General features: G+C 41.8%; 1 protein-coding gene across 11 annotated transcripts in view, besides 1 other annotated feature; it reads left to right on the top strand.

Annotated features, from left to right (window-relative positions):
• PPARGC1A (PPARG coactivator 1 alpha) overlaps positions 1-26402 on the top strand; it is a 680885-nt gene that overhangs the window by 97779 nt on the left and 556704 nt on the right. The gene's annotated exons all lie outside the window — the stretch shown is intronic.
• Positions 25576-26307: an enhancer, noted in NCBI's record as "H3K27ac-H3K4me1 hESC enhancer chr4:24350443-24351174 (GRCh37/hg19 assembly coordinates)". NCBI's record gives its function as "activates a minimal SCP1, AML or CMV promoter by ChIP-STARR-seq in primed H9 embryonic stem cells {active_cell/tissue: H9 hESC(primed)}" and the evidence as "EXISTENCE:reporter gene assay evidence [ECO:0000049][PMID:30033119]".

Here is a 26402-nt window from a genome sequence, read left to right as displayed (position 1 = left end):
AAATCAACCTGGAGTTTTAATGGTGGATATTTGGTTATTTTCTCTGAAAGTCCCCACGTATCCCAACCTGACAGGGATGATAGTGGACACAGGTTTCTTTTTTTTTTTTTTTTAGGGTGGGGGGTTGGTGGATGTTTGGATCATTTCTACTTTTTGACTATTACTAATAATGCCGCTATAAACATGCAGGTGCAGGTTTTCATGTGGACACGTTTTCATTTCTCTTGAGCATATACTTAGGAGTGGAATTGTTGGGTCATATAGTAACACCATGTTTAATTTTTTCCAAATAGTCTGGCAATTCCTCAAATTAATAGTGCACATTTTTACAGTTGCATCATCATGGTATGAGGGTTTCAATTTATTCACATCCTTGCCAACACTTGTTAGTATCTGACTTGTTGATTCTAGCAATCCTAGTGGGTGTGAAGTGGCATCTCGTGTTTTTGATTTCCATTTCCCTGATGACTCAGTGATACTGAGCATCTTTTCTTGTGCTTACTGGCTGTTCGTATACCTCATTTAGAGAAATGTCTCTTCAGATCCTTGGCCCTTTTTTTTTTAACATTTATTTTAAGTTCAGGGGTACACGTGCAGGTTTGTTACATAGGTAAACTTGTGTCATGGGGGTTTGCTATACAGATTATTCCATCACTCAGGTATTAAGCCTAGAACTCCTTAGTTGCTTTCCCTGATCCTCTCCCTCCTTCCACCCCCACCCTCTGATAGACCCCAATGTGCGATGTTCCCCACTATGAGGACACAAGGTTTCTTCGTGATTCCTGGCAACCAGGCCACATGGAAAGGTTTCAAAATATAGAGTGACAGGGTAGGACTGTTCGTTAACTTTCCCTGAGTGAGTCTAGACCAGCAGCCAGGGATAGAGGCAGATAGAAGAAAAGAAATACCAACTTGGGTCAATGAAATGGAGGCTTTTCTAAATGGAAAAATCTGTCCCTCCCAGGGGTGTTAACCATCATCTTTTGGCCACAGGAAGCAGTTTGAATGTTGTAGGAAAATTTTAACTCTGATATCTGGGATCACCTCTTAGAAATCTATGACATCCTGTATGAGGTTTCATGTATTTTTGGATTGGAAAAATACTGACAAGTGGTGTTTTAAGAAACGTCAGTGCCTCCTTGGTTTTGTTTTGATTTCTGTGTGTCTGTGCTCAGTGCTAGGTCCTTTTGCTAGAGAATTTGCATCGTTGTTCCTCAGTGATTTATTTGTGTTTGCTATCACATAGCAATTGCCAGGTTCCAAAACACTGGAAAAGCCAGTGTCAACACAGAAAGTGAAAAAGGTGAAAATAAAGACAGCAGATTACTTGCTATTTGCAGTGGCAAATTCTGACCTCAGTACTGTAGATATATAGTCTCATGAATGGGCAACCTATCAATTTTTTATTTGATCTATTCTTAAAAACACAGCTGTCTTTTGATATCTTAATCCTGTGCTCTCCTTTTTCCCACCCACAACCTTGTTCCTTGTCTCTCGTTTATAAATTTGTATAACATGCCTCATTTCTTCCTTTCAATTTGTTTTCTGATAGTAAGAGACATTTTTATTCATTATAGATTTGCAGTCTGCAGAAATATACAGGGAAGAGCCTAGAAATGACCCAGAAATTCAATATTTAGAGACAAACGATATTAACATTTTAGCGTGTTCCCTTCCAGCTTTATTCCTATGCCTAAATATGCACTGATAGGGAAAAGCTAATTTTGAACAGCAGTCTTACTCACAGCTTTGTGCTGAACATTTTCCTTGCCGCTTAATCTCAGTGGTCTGAGAAATTCTTTCCATGGCCCTGCCAAAGCTGGAAAGGGCAAATATCTTCTATTTTGCTCATCTTTTTCCTCCTCCATCTGCTGCAGACACCTCTTTGCCCCAGTATCGCCAGACCCGACTGTTTCCTCATTAGGTCCCTTTGACCATTAGCCTCTCTTTTCCTGCTGCTCACGCCGCAGGAGTCCGGGACTGGCCTACTTATCTCATGGCCTGCAGTTTTGTGAGTTCACACTTGTAGCTTCTCCCTTCCAGAATGTAGAACTGGACTGTGTTTCTGCTTCTGTGCAGCCGATGGGAGGGAAGACGATGCTCATGGCAGGGAGTCAGAGCTCTGAAGCTCTAAGTGTCCCCCGGGCTGGTGTTGATCTGCTTAGCCAAAGACTGCTCTTAAGGATTCTAGAAATTCAGCCTGACTTTCCGCCAGCTCTCTCCTCTGTGAGCACAGAACCTCCTTCACTTCCAAGTTGTAGGAAGGAAGTAGTAACATTTATTCAGCATTTGTACTTTGTATACATTCACTCTTCACAAGGATCCATGAAATAGCTATTATTATCCCCATTTTGGAGATGAGAATGTTGAGGCTTAGAGAGATTAATAAAGTAGCTTGCTCAAGACTACACACAGTGAGATTCAAAACCAGGCCTGTGTAGCTACAAAGCCTATATTTTTCACCAAACTCAAAAGTTCTTTTCGGTAGAAAAATAAACTTCAGATCTTTGGTGTGGGCCGTTCTCTGGATAAGACTAAGAACTGCAAGTGTAGCCAAGGCAAAAGCGTTTACTGATAAGGGCTGTGTAGAACAAATAGAAACGAGAAAAGGCCACCAGCCCCTGAGTTAGCATTAAGGACTCAAAGACTGTCAGGGCTAGAAAGAAGCTTAGAGTTGATTTAAGCTGGAGATCCTCAACCCTAGCTGCATAGCAGAACCACAGGGGAAGCTTAAAAAACTACAAATGCCTAGCACACAGGAACCTAGCCAACAATTTCTAGGTGTGAGCCCTGGTGTGGGCGTTTTTATAAAGCTCTTCAGGTGATTCTTACGTGGAACCAACTTTGAGAACCACTGATTTAGGTAAACTCCCTTATTTGGCATTTAAGTTAACTCAAAGCCAATGAGTTAAATGACGTGCTCAAGGTCGCAAAGTTGGTTAGGGTAAGACTGGGAAGTAGAATGTAGCTCATGTGCCTTAGTTTAGTGGCTGTCTGGGGTGAATGGAATGAGCTGGAGCTTGAACAAATTGGAAACACATATGCTTCTCCCAAACTCTGGAGGCAAGAGAGAGAGATGAAACTTTATCAGTGTCCCTTCCATAAGTAGCACTAGGGAGTTTCAGAAGAGAGGCAACCTTATTTCATTCTACTGACTTTTTTTTTTCTTTTATTTTGAGACAGAGTCTTGGTCTGTTACCCAGGCTGGAGTGCAGTGGCATGATCTGGTCTCACTGCAACCTCTACCTCCCAGGTTCAAACGATTCTCTTGCCTCAGTCTCCTGAGTAGCTGAGACTACAGGCACGCACCACCATGCCTGCCCAATTTTTTTTTTTTTTTGTATTTTTTGTGGAGATGGGGTTTCATCATGTTGGCCAGGCTAGTCTTGAACTCCTGACCTCAGGTGATCCTCCCGCCTCGGCCTCTCAAAGTGCTGGGATTACAGGCATGAGCCACCGCGCCCTGCCCCTACTGACTTTCCATGTTGCATTTATGAAGGGAGAAGGTTCCTATCTTCATATCTGACTCAGGGACTCTCCCCTCACCCCCACCTTTTCCTTTTCCTCTTAGACTTCTTGGAGGTTTTTCAGGAGATATTCTGTCAGCTCTTTGGAGAAGACAGTGGCTGGGGGTTAGGGATGATACAGTTGAAGGATAGGTAGCTACCACCACTCAGACCTTTTGCAAAGCTCTAAGCAACTCGATTGTTTTGTAGGAAGTGTATTGGGGACAGAAAGTTGTGTAAAGCTTGAAGGTGGGATAAAATGGTTCCTGATAGATCAAAGAGGGTCTGTGTATTTCATGTATGGTTTAACATAAGTTATATAAGGTATGGGAACCCAAAGGATTATAAATCATTCTACTATAAAGACACATGCACATGTATGTTTATTGCAGCACTATTTACAATAGCAAAGACTTGGAACCAATCCAAATGCCCATCAATGATAGACTGGATAAAGAAAATGTGGCACATATACACCATGGAATACAATGCAGCCATAAAAAAGAAAGTGTTCATGTCCTTTGTGGGGGACATAGATGAAGCTGGAAACCATCATCCTCAGCAAACTAACACAGGAACGGAAAACCAAACACCATGTGTTCTCACTCGTAAGTGGGAGTTGAACAATGAGAACACATGGACACACAGAGGGGAACATCACACACCAGGGACTTTCGGGAGTGAGGGGCAAGGGGAGGGAGAGCATTAGGACAAATAACTAATGCATACGGGGCTTAAAACCTAGATGACGGGTTGATAGGTGCAGCAAACCACCATGGTGCATGTATACCTGTGTAACAAACCTGCATGTTCTGCACATGGATCCCAGAACTTAAAGTAAAAAAAAAAAAAAAAAAAAAAAAAAAAAAAAGAGAGAGACAGGAGAAACTGAGAGGAAGATGAGAAGAGAATGGAGTGGGATGTCTTGTGGTCTTGTTTCTGCTCTCTGGCTGATCTGTTTAGGAGTCTGGAGCATGTAATTCTCCCTTGTGGCTGGCCTTGGGCCAGAGTGAGATCCAATCTACAATGAAGCCAGATGCCTTTGCCTGGATTGAGTGGAGAGTCAAATTGTTATAGCTTAAGGGTATTGTTCTGAAGAATGGGACTCCAACTTAATACTATGATCATCCTAATAACAAGGCTTTTCAATTCGAAGTCATTCATCTACTCTTTTTTTGTGTTATTTGTATGTGTCTCCTTATGTGTCATATCTATCTATGTAAATATATTCTGTCTTGTCTATACACCGTCGCTATTATTTACTACCTATTATTCATCCATTAGGCCAAACCATATGAAAGTGCCCATTTTTGACCATTTCTGATTTAAAATAAATACTAGTAGTTTCATGTGGCTTAATCTATTTATTTCACTTTTTTTTAACCTCTGGAAATTTATTTGTAGAAAAAATTTTGTTACCATTTTAAATGGAAAACCAGTATCACTTGCTATAGATAGAAGAATATTGAAAAAAAATGTTAAAAGAACACCAAAAAGTTAACATCTTTAACTAGACGCTGTTGCCTGCTGAAGGCTGTGAGCCTGAAGCTTGTTTTTCCTTTGTTAAAAGAGTCTTAAGTCTTAGAAGTTTAATGTAGAGGCTTATTATCCCCAAGCCAAGCCTTTCTCTTTGATGGAATCACAGTGATTGAAAAGGAGATAGCACATTGCTTACTGCTGTGGGAGCCCACCTACTAGCCTCCACTTTCTGCTGGTGGAGTCATCTCACACTGCAGGTGACATAGAGCCATAGGATGTGATCGTGACTTGCCCAGCCCCTGCTAACTCGGAGGGTTGGCGGGCACGAAAGTCTTGGCTGCCTTTCTTCATTGTGACTTAGTCAAATGTGTTGATGGGGCAGTTGTGCCTTCTTGAATAATTATGCAACAGCAAATATGCCAAAATTCTTCTTGCTGCATTTATAGCTACAGCTTTGCAGGGTGTTAAAAAAGCATGGCACGCTCCCAGCTCTCATGTTTTTAAAAAGTGAATGAGTTTGATGTTTTATATTTCTTTCTCTGTGTGACCCTGAGCATTTTTTTTTTCTGTTCTCTCTGAGCTTCAATTTTCTCATGTAGAAATTGGGGATTGTACTGCTTCTCTTAACTACTTCATAGGGTTATAATAAGGACAAATGAGATAGTGATTGGAAAGTGCATTTAGGGTGTAAAGCATTGTTATTATTCTAATTCAAATTAATTTACTTGTAACTTCCATGTCTCGGATGCCATTCCTCCAACTCCTTGGCCTTATCGGTGAAAATGATCTGAGAAAATGTTTCCTTATCCCTCATCAAGCAACTATTCTCAGACTTGAACATGAGGTGGGAAGCTGTTAGACTAGTTTTAAAAAATAATTGTGATGGCTTCTTAGCTATGTAAGAGTGATGTACGTGTTCAATTAAAACACTGACCAAAGAGAAATACACAAAAAGAAGGAGGTGACCGTTATCCATGTTCTCACCCTGCTCTTCCAGTCTTTTTTCTCCAGTAATGCTGATCTCAAATTTGCTGATATCTTTAAATTCAGTGGCCTTGGGAAGAGATAATTAGTGGGCCAGGCTTCAGTCCCCTTCTGAAATGGTGGCTGTCAGAGCCAGATGGGGTGCTCGTGGGAGGTTGGAGATAGGGCAGAGTGAGCCTTGGGATCTCTGACTTGTCTCCATTCCATTGTCAGGAGACTCTGTGTGTCTGCTCATTTCAAAGGAGAGAATAAGATGGTTTGAAAGAAACTGAGTTAACAGGCCACAAGAAAATTGCCATCTCCCTCCCGTTCACTCTCCGTTTCTTCCGCGTCTCCTGATGGATGTGTCTCTTCGTTTTTGTTCCGAGGAAAGTCCTGTCTTTCATGCATGCTAGGTTTCAACTACCTCCCTTTAGTGTAGCACTTAAGAAATTAATTAAAATATTAATCAGTTTATTGCACAGCCCATTGGAAACAGGCCACTTAAAGGTCTTTTTCATATTTTGTGTGGTATAAATTATATGGTACAAATGTATAGAATAATGTATTGCCATTTTAAAAGCCCTTGTTCAGGGAATGTACCCTAAAATTTTGAAGTCCACCTTGAAGAGAGAACCCCCCAAATTTGATTCCATTATTGCTGGAATCTTAGGTACCCAGCTTCAGACAAGGATCTATAGAAAAGAGAAAACTATAAATGATATCAGGGGAAAGGGGAGATAATTTTTTTTAATGTTTTAAATTTGCATGCAGGTTACCATGACTACAAAATATCTTTATCACTTATTGAAAGTATCTGTTAACCTTCTGCGGCTGTCCCATCCACAGCTATATTTCACGATTGCTACCCTAAAATTGTATGGTACTTCAAAATTGCTCCTTTACCAGATTGCTGAGTCTGAGTTGAAGGAGTCCAGTTTTGATGCAAATAGAGTTCAGAATTCATTCCTTCTTACTGTAGTTTTCAGTTCACATTTGACCCAGTTGGTTAAGACGATTCACGTCTCACCTCTTAACATACAGCAAAGCACTGAGGTTTCTGTGACTTGAGAGTGAATTAGATCTCAGTCATTTTGGCAAGTTGTAGGAAGGTATTTTTAGAAAACCTTACTTACATAATGTTGATATCTTTTCCTTTCTCTCTTCATGTAGCAACCATAGGTTAGTGTATAGATAAAGGGTGTGTTGGAGAGTGATGATATTGTGTCTTTCGAATAAAAGGCTGGATTTCCTAGCTGCACCCTGGGAGGGCCTGGCATATGATTGCAGCGATTGTCCCTGTTTATTGGAGTGTTTTACAATTTCTGGTAACACTGTCTTGTTACAAAACACCACCTACCTCATCAAGCACCAAAGGAGCTTGAAAATGGGCAGGTTTGCCTTATTATTATTTTTTCTCTAGCGACAAAGAAACAACAACAATATGTTCATTAAGGCAGCAGTTTAGATAGTAATACATGCCCACTCCATAAGAATGTTTATAGAAATTAACTTCTATTTCTAAGCAAGCAAAAAAGAAAAAGACATTTTTAGGCATTTTAAGATGTCCCTGATATCTTCCCACTGTTCCTCCTAAATTACTTATTATTATTTGCATTAATTTGGAATGACTTTCATTTTTCATAATTGCAAACAGGTTGGCTTAGCTTAGTTAACCAGATTCTTCACATATCAGAGCTCATTGCAAAGCCCATTTCATTTGGAATTTTCTAGTATGTGAGCCCGTTATACTTAAGCTTTTAAATAAATGCCTTTTAAGTCAAGATGAGTGTTGAGGATCAGAAGTTTTCTTTCTGTGTCTGCTCTTTCAACCTTGATTCTAGACTAAACAATATAGTTCTTGGGAATAATTTGGCCTAGTTATGGCTATTTAGTGTACATTTCTCTGATGGTGGAAATGCAGGGTTAGCCTCTTCCTCTGTGATTTTCCTGAGGAGTCTCCTCCCCCATTTCTTCCTGGGATGCCCACTTTTCCTTCCACAGTAGTGGTTGCTCACCTTTAGGCTCTTACTAGTGATTACGAATCATTAACCCAAATGCTTCTCTTGACAGCAATTGCTTTTCAAAAGGAGGGAAGTCACATTTGAACAATTTTATCCATTATGATCTATTTTGAACGTACACACCAGAAAAGAGCAGGAGTTTAAAAACATACAGCTTTGTGTTTTTTCCACAAGTGTGTATATAAAATAACAATCCTGAAGTCACTTATTTCTCCCTTCATAAATGTCCCTGGAAGGAATCTCAGCATAATTGTCACCTTGCAAGCATCATCAGATTTGGAAGTTGCAGAAAAGGGTGGAAAATACTCGTTTCTATTTCAGAAAACAAAGTCATCTCTATGGCGTTTTATCAATGGGAACCTCTAAGAAGGGCTGCCCGTGTTAGGTTTTGTTGGTTTCTAATTCATTACAATGGGGGTGATGACGGAAAATAGCCTCAGAATTTAGGTCTTGGGGAGAGCAGGATAGAAAGCTTTGAACCAGGCTCAAGTTTTTTGAGTAGCATCTGTTTGGGTAGGCATGGACTTTGGAACGTCCCAAACATTTTATGCTACTAGTTTAATTGGTATAAGGTTTGTGTCACCCAATTCTCTTGAAACAGAGGAAAATATGCTTGTTGTTGGTTGTGTTGTGGGGAGGTTTAATATAGAAGATAAAGGAAGTGAAACAAACAGACAGCAAACTTCTTTTCTTTGCTCGATCACTGGTAGTTGAGTCAAATATAGCAGGAAAAAAGTCACCAATCAATTCTTTCCAGAATAGAAAGGCTTCAGGTAAATTTCAGCTCCCACATAAATTGAACAAAGTCAATAAAAATTGGCTTAATCATTTCAATAAACATGACATGACTTCTTTTCTCATTAAAGATTTAAGGAGCAAGCTACATAAACGATAACTCTCTTCAGTGAATGAAACGGAATAAAATTTGTGAAAAGCACATTTTGGCTGGCTCTGGGAAGGAGATGATGGTGTTTTGGTTTAAGTGCCAACGAATCATATTTTTGACTTAATATTTTGATGGCGTGCATTTCAACTCTTGGCTGGATAATTTCTGACTGATGACTCTTTCAGGCTGGTTCAAGCCTGGTGGTTTTCATCCAGTAGGCTAGAGAGTGAGGGAATGTTTAGCTCCTTGCTTTCCCTTACTTCCTCTCCACAAGTTGATGATTAGGAGAAAAGCCAAAACTGGAAGCCTAGCATACTAAGTGATCTGGCTGTTCTAAAATTTTCATTTTATATTCTCTAATTTTGAAGCTGTCAAGTATTATCTGTCAATCATCTGCCTATAGCTTGTTAAGATTACAGAGTCGTGAATGTGCATAGGAGGCTGACTAAATCCTGTGATTAGCAACAAAATGTATAAGAAGAAAAGTTGAAGCATATATTAAAAAAAAACTATTGCTAATAAAGACCTCAGTGTTTACTTATGAAAAAATAGAAAATATGTGATTGGGAAAAAAGGCATTTTGGAGAATGCAGCCCAACTGGAATTTATCTGATGTACATTTAATAATCTAATAACAATACAGCTGCACCTGTGATGCTTAAGAACAAGAAGGATTATTAGATTTGTGCATGGAAGGTAAAATTACTGCAAAGAATTGCTTTGGGGAATATACAAGATACAGGAAATGAAGTGAAATAAAATAAATACAGGGGCAGATGACTGGTTTCTGTATATTGCTGGGTAGATTTAATTAATTGCTAATATAGCACTGAGGAATGAATTACTCAATCATTGCCATTGTTTCAATTTTGGAATTTTCCTCTTAAATACAAATTCATTAGAAAAGAAGAAAATGTCACCGGGCAGAGAATAAATTTGTGATTTTGGATGTTAACTTTTTAGAGTCAGCTGTAAAATATTGAGCAATCTTGGGAACATATTTTTAAATAACTTGGAAGGTTTTTTCCCCTTTATTTTCATGATAGGCTTTATAGTCTTTCAAAGTCCCATTGCAACTTGAAATCAATCCATTAATTTTTCTTTTTTTTTTTTTTCAATGCCATCTCTGCATTAGCTTGTTATGGTAGGATCTGCAGAGAGTACTGAGAAGGGCCAGGGTTTCTGACTCAAACAGATCTGGTTGAAATCCTATATTTAGCATTTGGTAGAAGTGTCATGCTGGGTAAGTTACAAAAGGCGCCTTCTCTGTGCCTTAGTCTCCTTGCATATGTGGGTATATGGTGAGAGTTAGTAATAATTCATTCATCTGCTATTTATTGAGTATCGATACGTGTCAAGCACCATGCCAGATGCTGTGATATAATTCAACCATGATAGTAATAGTAGCTATCATTTATTGAGAGCTTACTAGCTGTTGGGTATTATTCTGTTCATTTCATGTGCAGTGTCTAATTCAACCTTTACAACTCTCTAATGCATACATATATATGGGTCTACATGTATATGGGTCCACACGTATACACAAATACATATGTATATTCACACAGAAATATATAAATGAATAATCACATAATAGAAGTGGAATTATTTGCTCTCAGGAAAGCTCAGTTTCCTCATCAGAGGTAAGTTTTAAAGTTTTCTTTGGTTTTTCTTTCTTTTTTTCTTATTATTCTTAGAAAAAAGGCTTGGCTATTACTAACCTGAGGAACTAGAGAAAAACTGCGTAAGAACATGATGTCATGAGAGGCGAGGAGAAGTGCAAGACCTTTGCCTCTTGCAAGATTGGAGGTGGGCCCAGGGCAACCTCCCTGGAAGCAGCTTGACAGGAAGATAAGGTTTCAGTGCTTGCACCTTTAAACGTAGCACTTTGTGTCTGCACCTCATTTCTGCTAAGGGTTTTCTCATCCGAAATGTCATACAAACCAATGTTTGCCATGTATTAATTCATAGAGAAAAGGGTCGGCATAATTGCCCACAGAAAATCCCTTTATATGGTTTGAACGTCTTTATTATGAATAAGCCTCAAGCATCTTAACTGAAAACACTTTAGAGTCATTGGAATGGCTGGCTTCTCTTTCCATTCCTGTGAGCTAGGAATGCTGGATCATCCACAGTGGATAGTTGCTAGCTGTTGATTTTGCAGTTGTGGCAGTTGTTAAAATGGGTGGACTTATTTGGGTGATTTTGGGCAAGCTTAATCTCATAGGAAAATCTTTAGCCTAGTCAGGTTTTTAATCGCTATGTTAGTCATCCTACTGATTACATAAGGAACACGGTAGGAGCATTTCAAATGCCATCAGCTCTTGGCAGCGGAATGACAATGAGGATGAAGTATTAAAAACTAGGTACTCATAAAGGCAGTCATGGAGAGGGGCCTACAACTCCCTGCTCCTGAATATGCCTCGACATTAATTCTGCTCCTTATAAGAGAACTCAGTGGAAGAAAGGCATAATTTGAATTAATTATTTGCACATATGGTGTGTTCCTGATGTCAACTAATGCTACATTAAGGACAGACATGCTGGGCACCCATTAAATAATCAAGTAAATATTTGTATTGTTTATGATAAACTGATTCCTTCTGTGGGCATTTTCTGTGCCTTTGTAAACATTCCTGTAGTAGGCAGATTTTGTTTGTTAGGGCTTTATACCAAGCTTAACTGTGACAAAGAGTGCTGTTTAAATTCCAAATCCGACAAAGAAACCTTACACCCACTGTGTTTTTTGGCACTAAGTGAATATTTAGTAACACTTTAATATAATAGCCGGATCATTATGGTATATTACCGAGCTGAATGTTACGTTAATAACATTAATCACATGGACTCATTCTTGTCCTAGTCTGAATGTTAAAAGTACTTCTATATGATTTCCACTATAATTCAATAGTAATTAGTGATACAATTACTTCAAGCTGGCACCAAATGTTTATATTGAGCCAACATGAGTGTTAGATCGACATATAAGTGAGCCTGATCTCTGAATAAAAGATTGAGGCTCAGGTAAGTTAGCCCAATTTTTCTCTGATGAAATGTGTTCTATAACCGGAACAAATACAATGTTTATAAATGCTCTGAATACATGAATGAGGTTGACTTTTCACACTATTCACTGAAGGTCACATTGTCATAGGGAAATATGAAAAGGAATAATCTCCAGACACATTTTCCTGTAAAGAATCCCATGTTTGAGAAAAGCCTGAAGTGAGTGCAAGAGAAAGACATCAAGTTGGGGAATTGCCTTAGGATCTGTTCTTGAAGTCGTCTAAATATAAATTCCTAATAATTGTTAAGTTCTTACGATGTTTCTGTTTCAACGAGTTTTAGGAAATCTTGATGCCTCTTGCACGCTTGATATTTGAAAGGAGCTTCCGAATGTGCTTGAATGCCTCTCCTGTCTCATGAAAGGAAGGTTTTCATATGCTCTTGGTCCTTCTGCCTAAATTCAAGTGTGGAAGTGAGTGGTGGTGCTTAACCGGGATTCTTGTGAAATGGGAAGAAACTGTGTCTGATGATGTCAGCTAATGGAGATTAATGGAACTCTTTGGATGACTAGACTTGCAAACAACCTCTAGACATTTCTTGAAAAGTTAGAGGTAAATATCTCATTCATTTTCTGAAAGCGGGGAGAGAAGGCCAATAAATACTTCTATCTACTGCAAGGCAATGTGGCCTGTCATTGGCTCCTTCTTGGCTGTGGAACTTAGTTTTTGGAGGAAAAAAAAACTAGTCCTTTGATGCCACCTGCACCTACTTTAGAAAAAACCAAACCAAGCCAAAACAAAAGTAAAAAACTGTAAAAGCATTTACTTCTTCTTTAATCCTAAGTGTAGATCTCTGATCTCTCAATAAATCCATCCATCCATCCATCCATCCATCCATCCATCCATCCATCCAGTCATGTGTTCAAGAAGCTCATATTTGATTGCCTGCTTTCAGAAATTGTGCTCAATACTGGAATTGATACAGGAATCTGGAACCTCTATTTTAGGGCAGCAAAATGATGTGGTGAGAGACATACATTCAGAAAAAGGAAGATGATCACAGCCTGTATCTGAAGTGGGTGAACTTCTGAAGGGCAGGCACTGGGAATGAACCCATGACTATAGTCTCTTCATAACAGGATACCAGGGACAACAATGTGAAGAATATTCGGATAAATGGCGACACTGAATGAATATAAGTTTTGCATAGGATTTTGTCTTGCTCTTCTTAAGGTTTTATTTTGATAGAAAAACCCTGAGAATGTCAGTATGGGGCTAAAGTCCAGTTTATCTTTTTGTCTTTATTTCCCATATGGGAAACTCTTTCAGACAATGGATTTGTATTTGAGGAGACTGTTTAGGTTAGGGAAGCAATCAGACTGTATGTTTCTCCTGCCTGGAGCCTCTGAGGCCGTCTTCACTTCCCAGATGTCAGAACAAGCTTTCTGTAGCTGATCATGCAGGCTTTACCCGCTCAACAACAGAAAGTGGACATTGTAACGTGGGATACGAATGCTGCTGCTTTCTTTGTGTTAAGGTCCTGAATATAAATTTCTCTGGTCTTCACCTGGATATCTTGCCTTTAAAAATAACACTAGATTTTTCCTGTTGAGTTTTAGATTTGGATTGTTTTAAGCTAAAAAGCTAAAATGGAGGCATTCCAACAGTGGATTATCAAATTCAGGGTGTTACGTACACATCCCATCTATAGACAAGGATATATAAAGCAATGTGGCTGGAGAGAGAGAGAGAAAGAGGCAGAGAGAGTCAAACAGAAGGATAGAGAGAGTGAATCAGCCTCCCTTAGGGGAATGTTCATGAAATTCTTGCTAATGCTGCATTTGAAAGAAAACAAAGTCTTCATTTCAGGTCTTGTTGACTATATTGTTATAGGAACTTTGCAGTTTGACTCTAAGAGGTAAATTGGGGAGTTGTAGGTTCTCACTGAATCTGTGATGTGCTTTATCATCTATGCTGCTTTCCTGCTTGTCATTTGAATCAGATGATGATGTCTTTCCCTTTTCCCTGTGAAGCTTTTGAGATCTGTCTCCTACTAAACCTCTCGCCCTGTCCTCCGCTGACTCCTTCCCTGTCCTCTGCTGGCTCCTTCTTCCTTCTTGTCCCTGCCCCTCTGCTGTTGCCGCAGTTCCTTCTTGTCCCAGCCACACTGGAGCAAGTGGTCACCTGAATGCCTTATGCAGGCCCTTGCCTCGTTATCTCCTCTCATCTGCCTGCAACCCCTGCCTTCTTGTAATCCACCAGGAGCTAGTTCAAGGGGCATCTCCTTTGTGAAGTCTGTTCTGTGCCTAAATGAGCACTAGCTAATATTTTATTGAATTCTTACCATGAACTAGACACTGTGTACTCGATGCTCCTTGTCTATATTTAAGCTATATATAAGGTACAAATCTATATATCCATATTTAAGCCACATCATATAGATGAGCAAAACTATGCTATAGCTTATGCTATATCCAAGCATTGCATTACCTATGGGTTAGATGCTATTCTTCCTATTCCCCTTTTAGAGATGAAAAGACAATACTGAGCTCTCAGGCAGAATCAGGCACTGCTCTGCAACACCTCAACTGCTGTGCATTTGCTTTCTCCCAGCACTGCATTGCTTCAACAGATGTACTGAACATCTTTGATGAGCCAGGTACTGTTCTAAGTGCCTAGCAAACAGTGGTGGTTCACACTATGGCCTGTCATGGGGCTCCTTTTTTAGGCAGGGAGGCAGACAACACACAAACACATATAATATGCCAAGCAGTGATGGTGATGAAGGTTGAAAAGATAAATAAGCAGAATGAAAGACAGGATGAGGGAGTGGTGCTATCTGGGCAGCCTCTGCTTAGATGGGAGGGGCTTGTGGCTGGTGCAGAGTGAAGGATGAGAGTTCCAAGGAAGGATGAGGTCAGGGAAAGTAGCCATAGTGTGGAGTTTGGATTTTATTCTGCAGTCATAAAATGGTTGAGTGAGAAGTGAAATAATTTGATATATGTTTTTAAAGCCACATTTCCCCAGTTTTGTGGAAAATGGACCGTGGTGGGCTACGGGTGGTGGTAGGGAGACCCATTAGGAGCCTTTTGCTCCAATTCAGGGGAGAGTTGATGTGGCTGAAATGAGTGGCAGCTATAGAAGTGGTGAGAAGTTGTGAGATTCTGGATGTATTTCAACATTGAGCCAGTGACATATCTTCATGGACTGAGTGTGAACTGTATGAGTAAAAGAAGCAAAAAAGTGGCCCAATCCACAGAGAGATTGGATTTACCTTCTACTCAGATGGGAGGTGCTGGTCTTGAGGGATGTATTAGTTTCCTCGGGCTGCTGTAACAAGTTGCCACAAACTTGAATGGCTTAAAACCACAGAAATGTATTGTCTCAGTTCTAGAGGCTGAGAACTGTTCCAAACTAAGGTATTGGCAGGGTCATTTTCTATGAAAATTCCAGGGAAGAATTCATTTTTGCTCTTCCAGTGGTTGCAATCTTTGGTGTTCCTTGGCTTGTAGAAGAATCCTTCCAATTTTTGTTTCCAAAGTCACTTGGTGTTCTCCCTGTGTCTGTATCCAAATTTCCCTCTTCTGATAAGGACACCAGTCATTGGATTAGGGCCCATCTTGAACCAGTATGACCACATCTTTACTTGATTCTATCTGCAAAGACACTATTTCCAAATAAGGTCCCATTCATAGGTATCAGGGAATAGGACTTGAATATATCTTTTTGAGGGGACACAGTTCAATCTACACCAGTGGGGATCAAGAATTTGGTGATTTAGGTTAAGTTTCAGATGCCATGAGATATCCAGGAAGAGATGGCATGTGGGCAATTGGACATGGGGTATGGAGTTCAGGGTAGAGACCGGGATAAAGGTATAAATGGTGGAGGCATCTTTACAGAGACAGCAGTCAAGCCACAGGAGCAAATGGGATCTCTAGAGAAGTGTGTATGTTCTGAAGAGAAGTTTAAGGACTGAGCCTGGGATGCTCTAGTGTTTGGAGGTCAGGAGAGGGAGAGGAAGAAGATCTGGATGGAAGTTATTTGATTTTGTATATCTCTTGCTTACTAGGCTCTAAACTCGCAGAGATCAGCAGCCATTGTTCTATTCCCAGCCCTCAACATTGACACTGGCATAGAGAGGCTCTCCACAAATGATTGCTAAATAAAGACGGTGAACTTTCTTTAAGTTTTAAACCATAAATAAAGGTACAGCAACAGTGGCAAGTCAATACCAACAGAAATGGGAGTGCTGGCCTGTATGTAGCCAGCCTGAAGTGTTTGTAATCGCCCCTGCTGGTCTGTGCTGTCCTCCTGGCATGGAAGAAACACATAGGTGGGAAAATGGGTGTGGAACATGAGGAAAATGTCTCTTCTTTGTTGAGCTTCTTCACACAACCTACCTGCTAGAAAAGGCCATGCCACGCTCAGGGTTCACTGGCCAAAGTCCTGCATCAGGGCAGGGGAGGTCATCTTCACATTATGCAGTGATCTGGCCACACCTGGTGGGCCTCAGTTCTGAGAAACTGGGAACTGGGGTGGAGGTTTTTCACAAGGCATGGGCGGTATAGCAAAGGATTTAGATGTCAAGGGATTGCTAGTGACCATGTAAGACCACGTGAAAAGACCATCTTTGAATATTTACAGTTTTATCAAGGGGAAAGAGATAAGGCTAGTTTTGGATTTTGGAAGGCAAACCTAAGAATATTGGGTAGAAGTGATACTGAGGACATTTCAATGTAGCATCAGAACTTGGGTCAATACAGAGCACTGTGGTTAAGAGAGTTAACAAAAAGTAGTGTTTAGGAGCATGGGCTGGGGCCAGAACACCTGGGTCTGAATCTGGCCCTCTGCCGTTTTCTGTGGGCCCTTCACAAGTTACTTATCTTCCTGTTGCCTCAGTTATCACATCTATAAAATGGAGATAGTGATAGTACCTAATTCAGAGGGTTATTTTAAAGATTAAATAAATTAGGATTTAAAAATCTTGGACCTGGCACATGCAAGCACTATTTGTTATACAAAAAGAGCTTAGACTTTGGGGTCAGAGGGGCCTGGCTTTCAATTCTGAATCTGCCACATACTAACTGCATGACCTTGAACAGGTTACCAGCCTCAGTTTCCTCATCTGTAAAATGGAGATAATAACACCTGCTTGAAAGGGCTGTTGTGAGGGTTAGTGGAGTAATATGTATGATATCCCTGGAACATTGCCTGATATATTGTGGATGCTCCTAAATGTTAGCTCTTTTCTAACAGGAAGGACTCAACCACCTTTAGAGATAGATTAAGCAACAGTATATTAGTCTGTTTTCACGCTGCTGACAAAGACATATCTGAGACTGGGTAATTTATAAAGAAAAAGAGGTTTAATGAACTCACAGTTCCATGTGGTTGGAGAGGCTTCACAGTCATGGTGGAAGACAAAAGACATGTCTTATGTGGCGGCAGACAAGAGAGAAAATGAGAACCAGGCAAAAGGGGTTTCCCCTTAAAAAACCATCAGATATCATGAGACTTATTCACTACTATGAGAATGGTATGGAGGAAACTGCCCCCATGATTCAATTATCTCCCACCGGGTCTCTCCCACAACCTGTGGGAATTATGGGAGCTACAATTCAAGATGAGATTTGGGTGGGGACACAGCAAAACCATATCGAACAGGCATGATGGCCATCTATCAAGAATGTAGTTGAAGTAAGATCAGCGTAAATGCCTTGTAGAGCCTTCAACCCAGACTATTTTAGCAAGTGAAGCTGCTAGAAGCAAAACAGGCAGGAAAAAGTATAGCAAAAATATGGAAAAGTCTAATTCCAATGTATTACTTGAATGCTTTGATTAAATATTATGCCAGATAACGGATGACAAAGAGATAGTATAATCTGGGGAGTAAGAGTATGGACTTTGGCATTAGCCAACCTGGGTTTGGCTCTAGCTGTGCCATTTGTTGGTCATCTGGCCTTGGACAAGTACTGTGTGTGACCTCCCCCAGAAGCTGACCTTAAGTTAGCTTAGACTTGAGTTGCAGTTATTTATTTGGGTGCAAATGTATTTGGATTTTCCCAGGTTAGCATCCTGGAGGAGAGAGTAAGGAAACCAGTGTAAGGTGTGTTGATGAGCAAGTCCCTGCTATGGCACCTGAACGCTCAGGCTGGGAACCTCTGGATGATGGTGCAGACCTGTCTCAGCATAGTCCCATACAAGAGAAGAAGCTCTAGTATTACCCGACTCCCATTAGTTGTTATCTGAGGGCTGTTCCCAGGATGGGGAACATTAATTCCTTTGCACTTCAATACTTCCCTTATCTCAAGCAGAGAGTGTCTTAGCTTTTAGAAGAAGCTAAGTATGCTAACCCCAGGGTATGGAGGGGAATTGGGTGAGCACTAGTAATATCTGCTAAGACAGTCATTTGAATCTAAATCTCAGTTTTCTCCTCCATCATATAGGAATAATATAATGTATATTTTATGACTCTTTGTAGAGATTAAGGGAGAGAATGAATATACAGTGTTTAGCTTAGACTGCTTGGCCTGTGGGAAGCCAGCCAGAGTAGCTATTACTGTGATAAAAGAGGATGGTATGAACAAGGAGACTGTGCCTTCCAAAGGACAGGGCCCAGAGACATTGCTCAGGAAATAAATTATTAGAGGGAGTTTGTGTCCATTTAATTTGCTTGGAGAAGTGCCCATAATAGAATCTTATACACTTGGTCACTTAAAAGTATTATGTGTGGCCGACACATTGAAGTCACATTTATTCACTTGGACAGAAGGTTCATCTTGAGTATACAGCCTGTAATTTACTTACAGGTGTATATAGTGGGATAACTCAGGTTAATGTCCGTGAACAGAGACCAACAATTAGCAAGTTAATTAGGGTCCTGATTTTAGTAGCGAGGGATAATCATTTATTAGCTTAGGTCAGACCCTGGGCCTTCCCGTGAAGTGACTGTCTATGAAAATATTGACTGAAAGGGAATCCCTGTAGCTTCCCCTGTGCAATTCACACATGCTTGGTAAACTCATTATCTCTCCCTCTCTCTCTTTTTTTTTTTTTTTTTGTTTGAGACGGAGTCTTGCTCTGTCGCCCAGGCTGGAGTACAGTGGTGTGATCTCAGCTCACTGCAACCTCTGCTTCCTGGGTTCAAGCGATTCTCCTGTCTCAGCCTCCTGAGTAGCTGGGATTACAGGCACGCGCCACCACGCCTGGCTAATGTTTATATTTTTAGTAGAGACAGGGTTTCTCTATGTTGGCCAGGCTGGTCTTGAACTTCTGACCTCAGGTGATCTGCCCTCCTCAGCCTCCCAAAGTACCGGGATTACAGGCATGAGCCATCGTGCCCCGCCGTAAACTCATTATCTCTTATAGAGATAGGCATGAGGACTACAATAAGTTTAGGAGGCTTGGCTTCAGCTAACCTGTTTTAAATTGATGGCAAAATATAAATGGATTCTAATATAACAATAATAATACCAGTTCTTCCTCCCCCTCGCACTTCCACGTTCTTTTGTGTGTCGCTTGTCTCTCGGCGGGTTTGTGACTGGTGTGTGCTGGCACTTTGCTCTTTTCCAGCCAATAATCTCAGCTACATTAACATGGTCATTTCAATCAAGGCATTTGTTGAAACAATAACAACAATGAAGTGTCTCATTGTGCCTTGGGGCTAAAAAGCGTTAGAAAGTGGTAAGCTTTTCTTCTTTCTCATTTTTTTCACAGTGACAGCCATTGACCCACACCTGGGATTTTGTAGAAGGGGCTGGAGATTATAAATCCAATTTACAGAAGGGGAGAGGGCATAAATTGAAGAGGCATCTTGCAATACAAGAAGATATGAGCAGCAGCTCCTCTTCTTGACAATAAAAGGCATGGAGTTTCTTGTGTCTGTTTTGTCTTCTCTCTCCAGCCATTCTTGCCTTTTTTGTTTGTTTGTTTTTGTTTTGTTTCCTGGCACTGCTGCCTGCTTAGCTCGGTTTGAAAGTTGCTTAGCATGTCCCTTGACTAATAAGGTGGATGCTGGGCCATGCCTCATAAGCTATAGAAAGGATGATGGACAAGGCTTTTAAAATCGGTTTGGTTCCTGTTTCCTACTCCATCAGTCGTGAATTCTGAGTTAGTTGTTTCTGTTTGTAAAATAGGAGAGAGATAATGTCGTGACAAACATAGCTGCGGTAAGTCCCTTCAACTTTCTGATGGAAGCTGACCCTAGGCTTTGAAAACATTCCCTGGTCTCTCTTGGCTAGCGGCAGATCACCTAAACAATTTTTTCCATTTTGGTTTAAGCTGAATTGGCAAAAAGAAAGGCAGAGTGGTAAAAGTCCAAGCCAACGACAAAAGGGTGTTTTTTTTCTGTTTTTTGTTTGTTTGTTTTTGTTTTTTTTGACAGTCTTGCTCTGTCGCCCATGCTGGAGTGCAGTCGCGTGATCTTGGCTCACTACAAGCTCCGCCTCCCGGGTTCATGCCATTCTCCTGCCTCAGCCTCCCGAGTAGCTGGGACTACAGGCGCCTGCCACCATGCCCGGCTAATTTTTTTGTATTTTTAGTAGAGACGGGGTTTTACCATGTTAGCCAGTATGGTCTTGATCTCCTGACCTCATGATCCACACGCCTTGGCCTCCCAAAGTGCTGGGATTACAGGTGTGAGCCACCGCACCCAGCCAAAAGGGTGGTTTTACATGATATGTGTCTCAGCTGTTTTGTCTTAACACTATCTTGGTAAACCCAATTTTAGTGAGTAAAAGAAAACTAAATGATAGAACTACTCCAAAAATCATTTTCCATGATTTCCAGGTTCCAGCATTCTGGGTGTAAATTGGTGAACATTTATGAATTGTTAATGTTCAGCAAGTGCTCTTGTGTGGTAGTCAGAATAATGCCCACACCCTACTTCCTAAATTTGTCTAGGTTCTGATCCCTAGAGCCTGGGAATGTTACCTTACATGGCAGAAGAGACTTTGCAGATATGATTAAGATTACAGACCTTATGAGATGGGGAGATTATCTTGGATTATCCCGGTGGGCCCAATGTAATCACATGAGTCCTTAAAATTGGAGCATATTTCCTAGCTGTGACTAGAGAGAGGGCAGCATGAGAAGCATCTGACGTCCCATTGCTGGTTCTGAGGTATAGCAGGCTGTGTGCAAGGAACTGAATTCTGCCAACAACTTGAGTGAGTGAAGGACTACTCTCCATTAGAGCCTCCAGGAAGGATCAGCCCTGCCTTGATAGGAGGCTGGTGAGACCGCGGCAGACTTCTGACCTACAGAGCTGTAAGAAAATAAATTTGTATTGGTGTAAGGCCACAAAATTTGTGATAATTTGTTCCAGGGGCAAGAGCAAACCAATGCATTGCAGTTTCCCTGGTCCAAAGTTTTCCTAATGCTAAAGGGATTTCTGAACCTAGTGTGTGTACCCTGCAATCAGGAAGGGCTCAGTCGTTTCCTATCAAAATCAAGAGCTCTGACTCTGATGTGTTTCAAAGAATTCCCACCTGTGGTACTGGGTTGCTAGAATGTCAGAAGACTTGGATGATGGAGAACCAAGAAGAAATTAATGAACATTAATGGTGCTTCCTTGTGTTCCTGAGTCTGTGCTGGATATTAATGATCTTACTTAACTCTCACAACAATCTGCAGGGGAGATATTATATTTTACAGGTGGGAAACAGAATAAGAATATGTTCTTTCTCTTATGACCCATTTTTGCATCCTTCTTAGCAAGGCTTAGGAATCGGGAAATCTGAAGTTTAGTGGCCGAGTCTTTCGCTACAGTAAACAAGAAAATAGAATCCCTTGCCAGTCTCGCCTTAATGTTTCTTCAGTTGATAAAACATTGATGAAGATGGAGAACATTGTCCCTGTCTTTTTTTTTTTTTTAAGCCCACAGAGGGAGGGCGGGGGACCCAGATGAAATGGCTCATCTCTCAATCTCCACTTCAGTTCCCTTCTATGCTCGGCTTCCCTGATTACTAATCAGCAATGCTTTGTGGCTTGCAGAATAAGCACCTAGTTTGTTAGTAAAGGAATCAGGTTGGTATTTAAGACGAAAGAGGATTTGAAAAAAAAAAAAAAGATTGATTATTTAAAAGGGTCACTTGGGACTGGCTTTGCAGATTCTACTGCATTAAGCCAGATTTTGGTTCGATTGCTGGCAATACCAGTCAGATCAGATGGATGCAACATGCCCCTGAAATCCCAGGATCCTCCACCCGCCATTCAATAGTCCCACATGTCACCCAGAGAGAACGTTGGCGGTGATCAGCTAACGAACTCCAGCCCCCTCCCATGCCACGGGAGAGAGATGGGCTTCTTTGAATTCAGCTGTAATACTTACTGGTAGGGAACTCCAGACAGGATTTATTTAATAGGTGGTTTTAAAGCACTCCCTCTACAGCATTAAGTTCCATGAGAGCAGGGAAGAAGCATATAAAATGCTACCTGCTTCTAAGGAGCCTCTAGTCTAGTGAGAGAGGAGGCTGATAACAAACACCAGCAGGTTTTGGTAAACAATAGTTCTGTGCTCCACAGGAGGGGAGGAAACTCAAAGATAGCCTGGGCACATGCCAAGGCTGGGGCAGGCAGTGGGACGTTTGGGGATATAAGTTTGCTCATGGGTTGGTTTGGAGAATGCCTACAGCAGCCCCAGCTTCCTTTCCAGCTTTTGAACCGAGTCCTCAGACCTTGGCCAGGCCTTTGTTGCTGGGCCTCATTGTTAAAGTCCCCGTGGCCAGTTGGACCCCATCCCTGAGATGTGGGGATGAACTGGGTGCCATTCTCTGGGCACCCTCACCTATGGGATGTTGAATGACAGCTAGCTCATTAGCTCCTCCTAATTACCTCTTTGGAGCTGGATTGTGCTTCTAGAACCTTCTTTTCTGGCAGCTAGAGTTCTGCTCACTTGTGTTGGCTGTTCCTATCCTAGCTGCACTCTCACCTGGCTTCTGACAGGGGAGGGCGCCTTACATCCCTGTGCTTTCTGTTGGAGTGATGCCTTTGAGCTGTGTGCCCCAGCTTGCACCTTGTTCTTCAGACTCAAAGCCCTCTTCCCCTCCCTATCTCTGTATTTGGGTCAGTTGCCATTCCCCTCCTGTCCCTCCGATCCCAGGCTTCTCCTGGCCTCTCGCCTCCCACTCCCGGGTGGCTCTGTATAGTTCAAGTCCCAGCATGCCTTGTTTTGGAGTGGGAATAGCAACAGAATGAACCCCAAATCAATCCCCCTGGCGCCTCCTTGATCTAGGCCCATCAGGTTTTAAACTCCCCTTTGAGGCTTTTGCAGTGACCCCAGAACCCAAAGAACATAGTATCCAGTTCTGCAACTTTTCACAGAAACTGCCACACGGGATAGCATTAAAATTCTTACTGAAATAAAAAAAGAACACCCTTTCTCTTCTTTGTTGACTGTAGGAGGCCTTTTTTGAAAAGACCATATTAAAAAAAAACAAAAAAACAAACCCTGTGATTTTTAGGTTAGAAAATAGTGTCAGAGTACACTATGCCCCAAATCAGGATGCTGTATGTTTCTGTACCATGACGGCTTTTTATTTTTTCCTTAGCTCAACTCTTAAAGTAATTTTAAATATTTAAGACTAAACACTTCTTACATTAGATAGTGTCTTTTTGGAGAGGGTCTTAGGTTATATTTGGCCTTATTTTTGTGAATTTTTTTGGTAAATGGAGTCCTTTAATGTGCATTGTGATTTTTTTTATAAGCACCCTGCTTTAAGCAGAACACGTGTAGTCAAAATATCTCTTTAAACCTGCTTTCAACAAATCACTCTTCTGCTCGGAAATTTTGAGTTGTTTTGTAATCGCATTTTTCCTCTAATCTAAATTTTACCTTCTTTCTTTTTCTTTTCTTTTTTTTTTTTTTTGAGACAGGATCTCACCTGTTGTCCAAGCTGGAACAGTGGTGTGATCACAGCTCACTGCAGCCTCAACCTCTCAGGCTCAAGTGATCCTCTCGCTTCAGTAAACCAAGTAGCTACGACTACAGGTGTGCACCACCATGCCTGGTTAACTTTTTTTTTTTTTTTAAATACAAGGGTTTGCTCTGTCACTCAGGCTGGAGTGCAGTGGCGTGATCTCAGCTCCCTGAAACCTTTGGCTCCTGGGCTCAAGCCATTCTCCCACCTCAGCCTCGCAAGTAGCTGGGACTATAGGCATGAGCCACCGCTCCCAGCTAATTCTTGTGTTTTTGGTAGAGACGGGGTTTCACCAAGTTGCCCAGGCTGATCTTGAAATCCTGTGCTCAAAGTGATCCACCCCCCAGGTAATTAAAAAAAAAAAATTGTTCTTTTTCTAGAGATTAGATCTCACTATGTTATCCAGGCTGGTCTCTAACTCTTGGCCTCAAGTGATCCTCCTGCCCCCACCTCCCAAAGTGCTGGGATTACAAGTGTGAGCCATGATGCCCAGCCATGGAGTCTGACTTCCTAGGTCTTCTTGCACTCAACTCCACCCCACCTGCCCTTTCCTTTTCCATTAGGCTTTTATAATTTTACCCTCTCCATGTTCTGCCGGTAGTGAATGAGAGACCATGTTATAGTTTGTGATAAAGACCTTGAAGCCACAGTTCCTTGGTTCAAGTCATCTATTAGCTGTGTGACTGGTAAATTGCACAGTTTGTTTTGTTTTCATCTTTTGGGGTTGATATGACTACTAAATACATTCTTTCATGTGAAATGCTTTCTGTCACACAGTTTTATGCGTTCAGTAGGTGTAAGCTATCATACCACTCCCTCATGAGAGGATTGGTGATTTGGATAAGGGAAGTATTTATGTCTTGCTCTTCCTTTTTCTCCTATATCCCAGGTGTATGTATCCTTGTACTAGGTTTAACCTGAAATCTGCATACCATTTGGAATATCAAAAAAAAAGTTTTTTTCAGATGCTATTTGTGTAAGTGTACCCAGCCACAGGGCAGCTTTACTGGTTCAAAATGTACCAACTAAAGCATTTCCCAGGGGGCGCCGTGGCTCATGCCTGTAATCCCAGCACTTTGGGAGGCCAAGACGGACAGATCACCTGAGCTCTAGATCGACTGCAAGAACAAACCAGCAATCCTGACAGGACCCACAGACCCTCTGAAGGAAGCAGACTGCTCCTGGGAGACACCCAAATATTGTGAGTGCCCCAACTGCAGAAGTGGGAAAGGGAGACCCTCCTCTCCCGAACACACCCCCCACTGGAGAAGCTGAAGGTCTGTTTGCTGGAGACGTTTCCAACTTCACCTGGAGCTGAGTCAAGTTTGAGAGCTGAGCAAAATACAGGGGTAGAGGAAGCAGCCAAAAGGCCCTGGGAGCTCGCTGGGTCCCCAAGCAGCCCATTCCTGCCTGGCACCACAGGGATCCATCGGGAGGGTGGCCAGAGGGGCAGGGGGTAAAACTCCACAGGGAGAAGGAATTCTCTAGCTGAACTTTGTAACAATTTGAACGGGGTGAGAAACCTCCTGGCCAGAACTTGAGGGATGGTGTGAATTGGGCGTGCAGACTTCACAGGACGGGGAAGAACTAAAGCCCTTTTCTCTCGCAGTTGGGAGGCAGATAGCTTCGGGTAAGTTTTCACGCCCCTCTTGCCCTCTACCTGGAAACAGACTTGGGGCTGTTGGTGGGGGCACGGTGGGAGTGAGACTGGCCCTTCAGTTTGCATGGGAGCTGGGTGAGGCCTGTGACTACCCGCTTTTCCCCACTTCCCTGACAACCTGCATGACTCAGCAGAGGCAGCCATAATCCTCCTAGGTACACAACTCCAGTGACCTGGTAATCTCATCCCCATTCCCCACAGCAGCTGCAGCAAAATCTGCCCAAGGAGAGTTTGAGCTCAGACACGCCTAGTCATGCCCCCACCTGATGGCCCTTCCCTATCCACCCTGGTAGCAGAAGACAAAGGGCACATAATCCTGGGAGTTCTAGGGCCCCGCCCACTGCTGGTCCCTCTCCACACTACTACTGCAGCTGATGCTTTCTGGAAAGCGCCACCTCCTGGCAGGAGGCCAACCAGCACAAAAATAGAGCATCAAACCACCAAAGCTAAGGACCCTCATGGAGTCCATTGCACCCTCTGCTACCTCCACCAGAACAGGCACCGGTATCCACGGCTGAGGGACCCATAGAGGGTTCACATCACAGGACTCTGCAGACAACCCCCAGTACCAGCCTGGAGCTGGATAGACTCGCTGGATGGCTAGACCCAGAAGAGAGAAAACAATCACTGCAGCTTGGCTCACAGGAAGCCACATCCATAGGAAAAGGGGGAGAGTACTACATCAAGGGAACACCTTGTGGGACAAAAGAATCTGAACAACAGCCTTCAGTCCTAGGCCTTCCCTCTGACAGAGCCTACCCAAATGACAAGGAACCAGAAAACCAACCTTGGTAATATGATAAAACAAGGCTCTTCAGCACCCCCCAAAAATCACACAAGCAATAGATCCAAACCAAGAAGAAATCCCTGATTTCCTGAAAAAGAATTTAGGAGGTTAGTTATTTAGCTAATAAGGGAAAGATCAGAGAAAGGTGAAGCACAATGCAAGAAAATCCAA

This window comes from Homo sapiens, chromosome 4 (genome assembly GCF_000001405.40).
Source record: "Homo sapiens chromosome 4, GRCh38.p14 Primary Assembly".
NCBI classification, from domain to species: domain Eukaryota; kingdom Metazoa; phylum Chordata; class Mammalia; order Primates; family Hominidae; genus Homo; species Homo sapiens.
The sequence above is the reverse complement of the archived record's forward strand: the minus strand, read 5'-3'. Positions and strand labels throughout refer to the sequence as shown.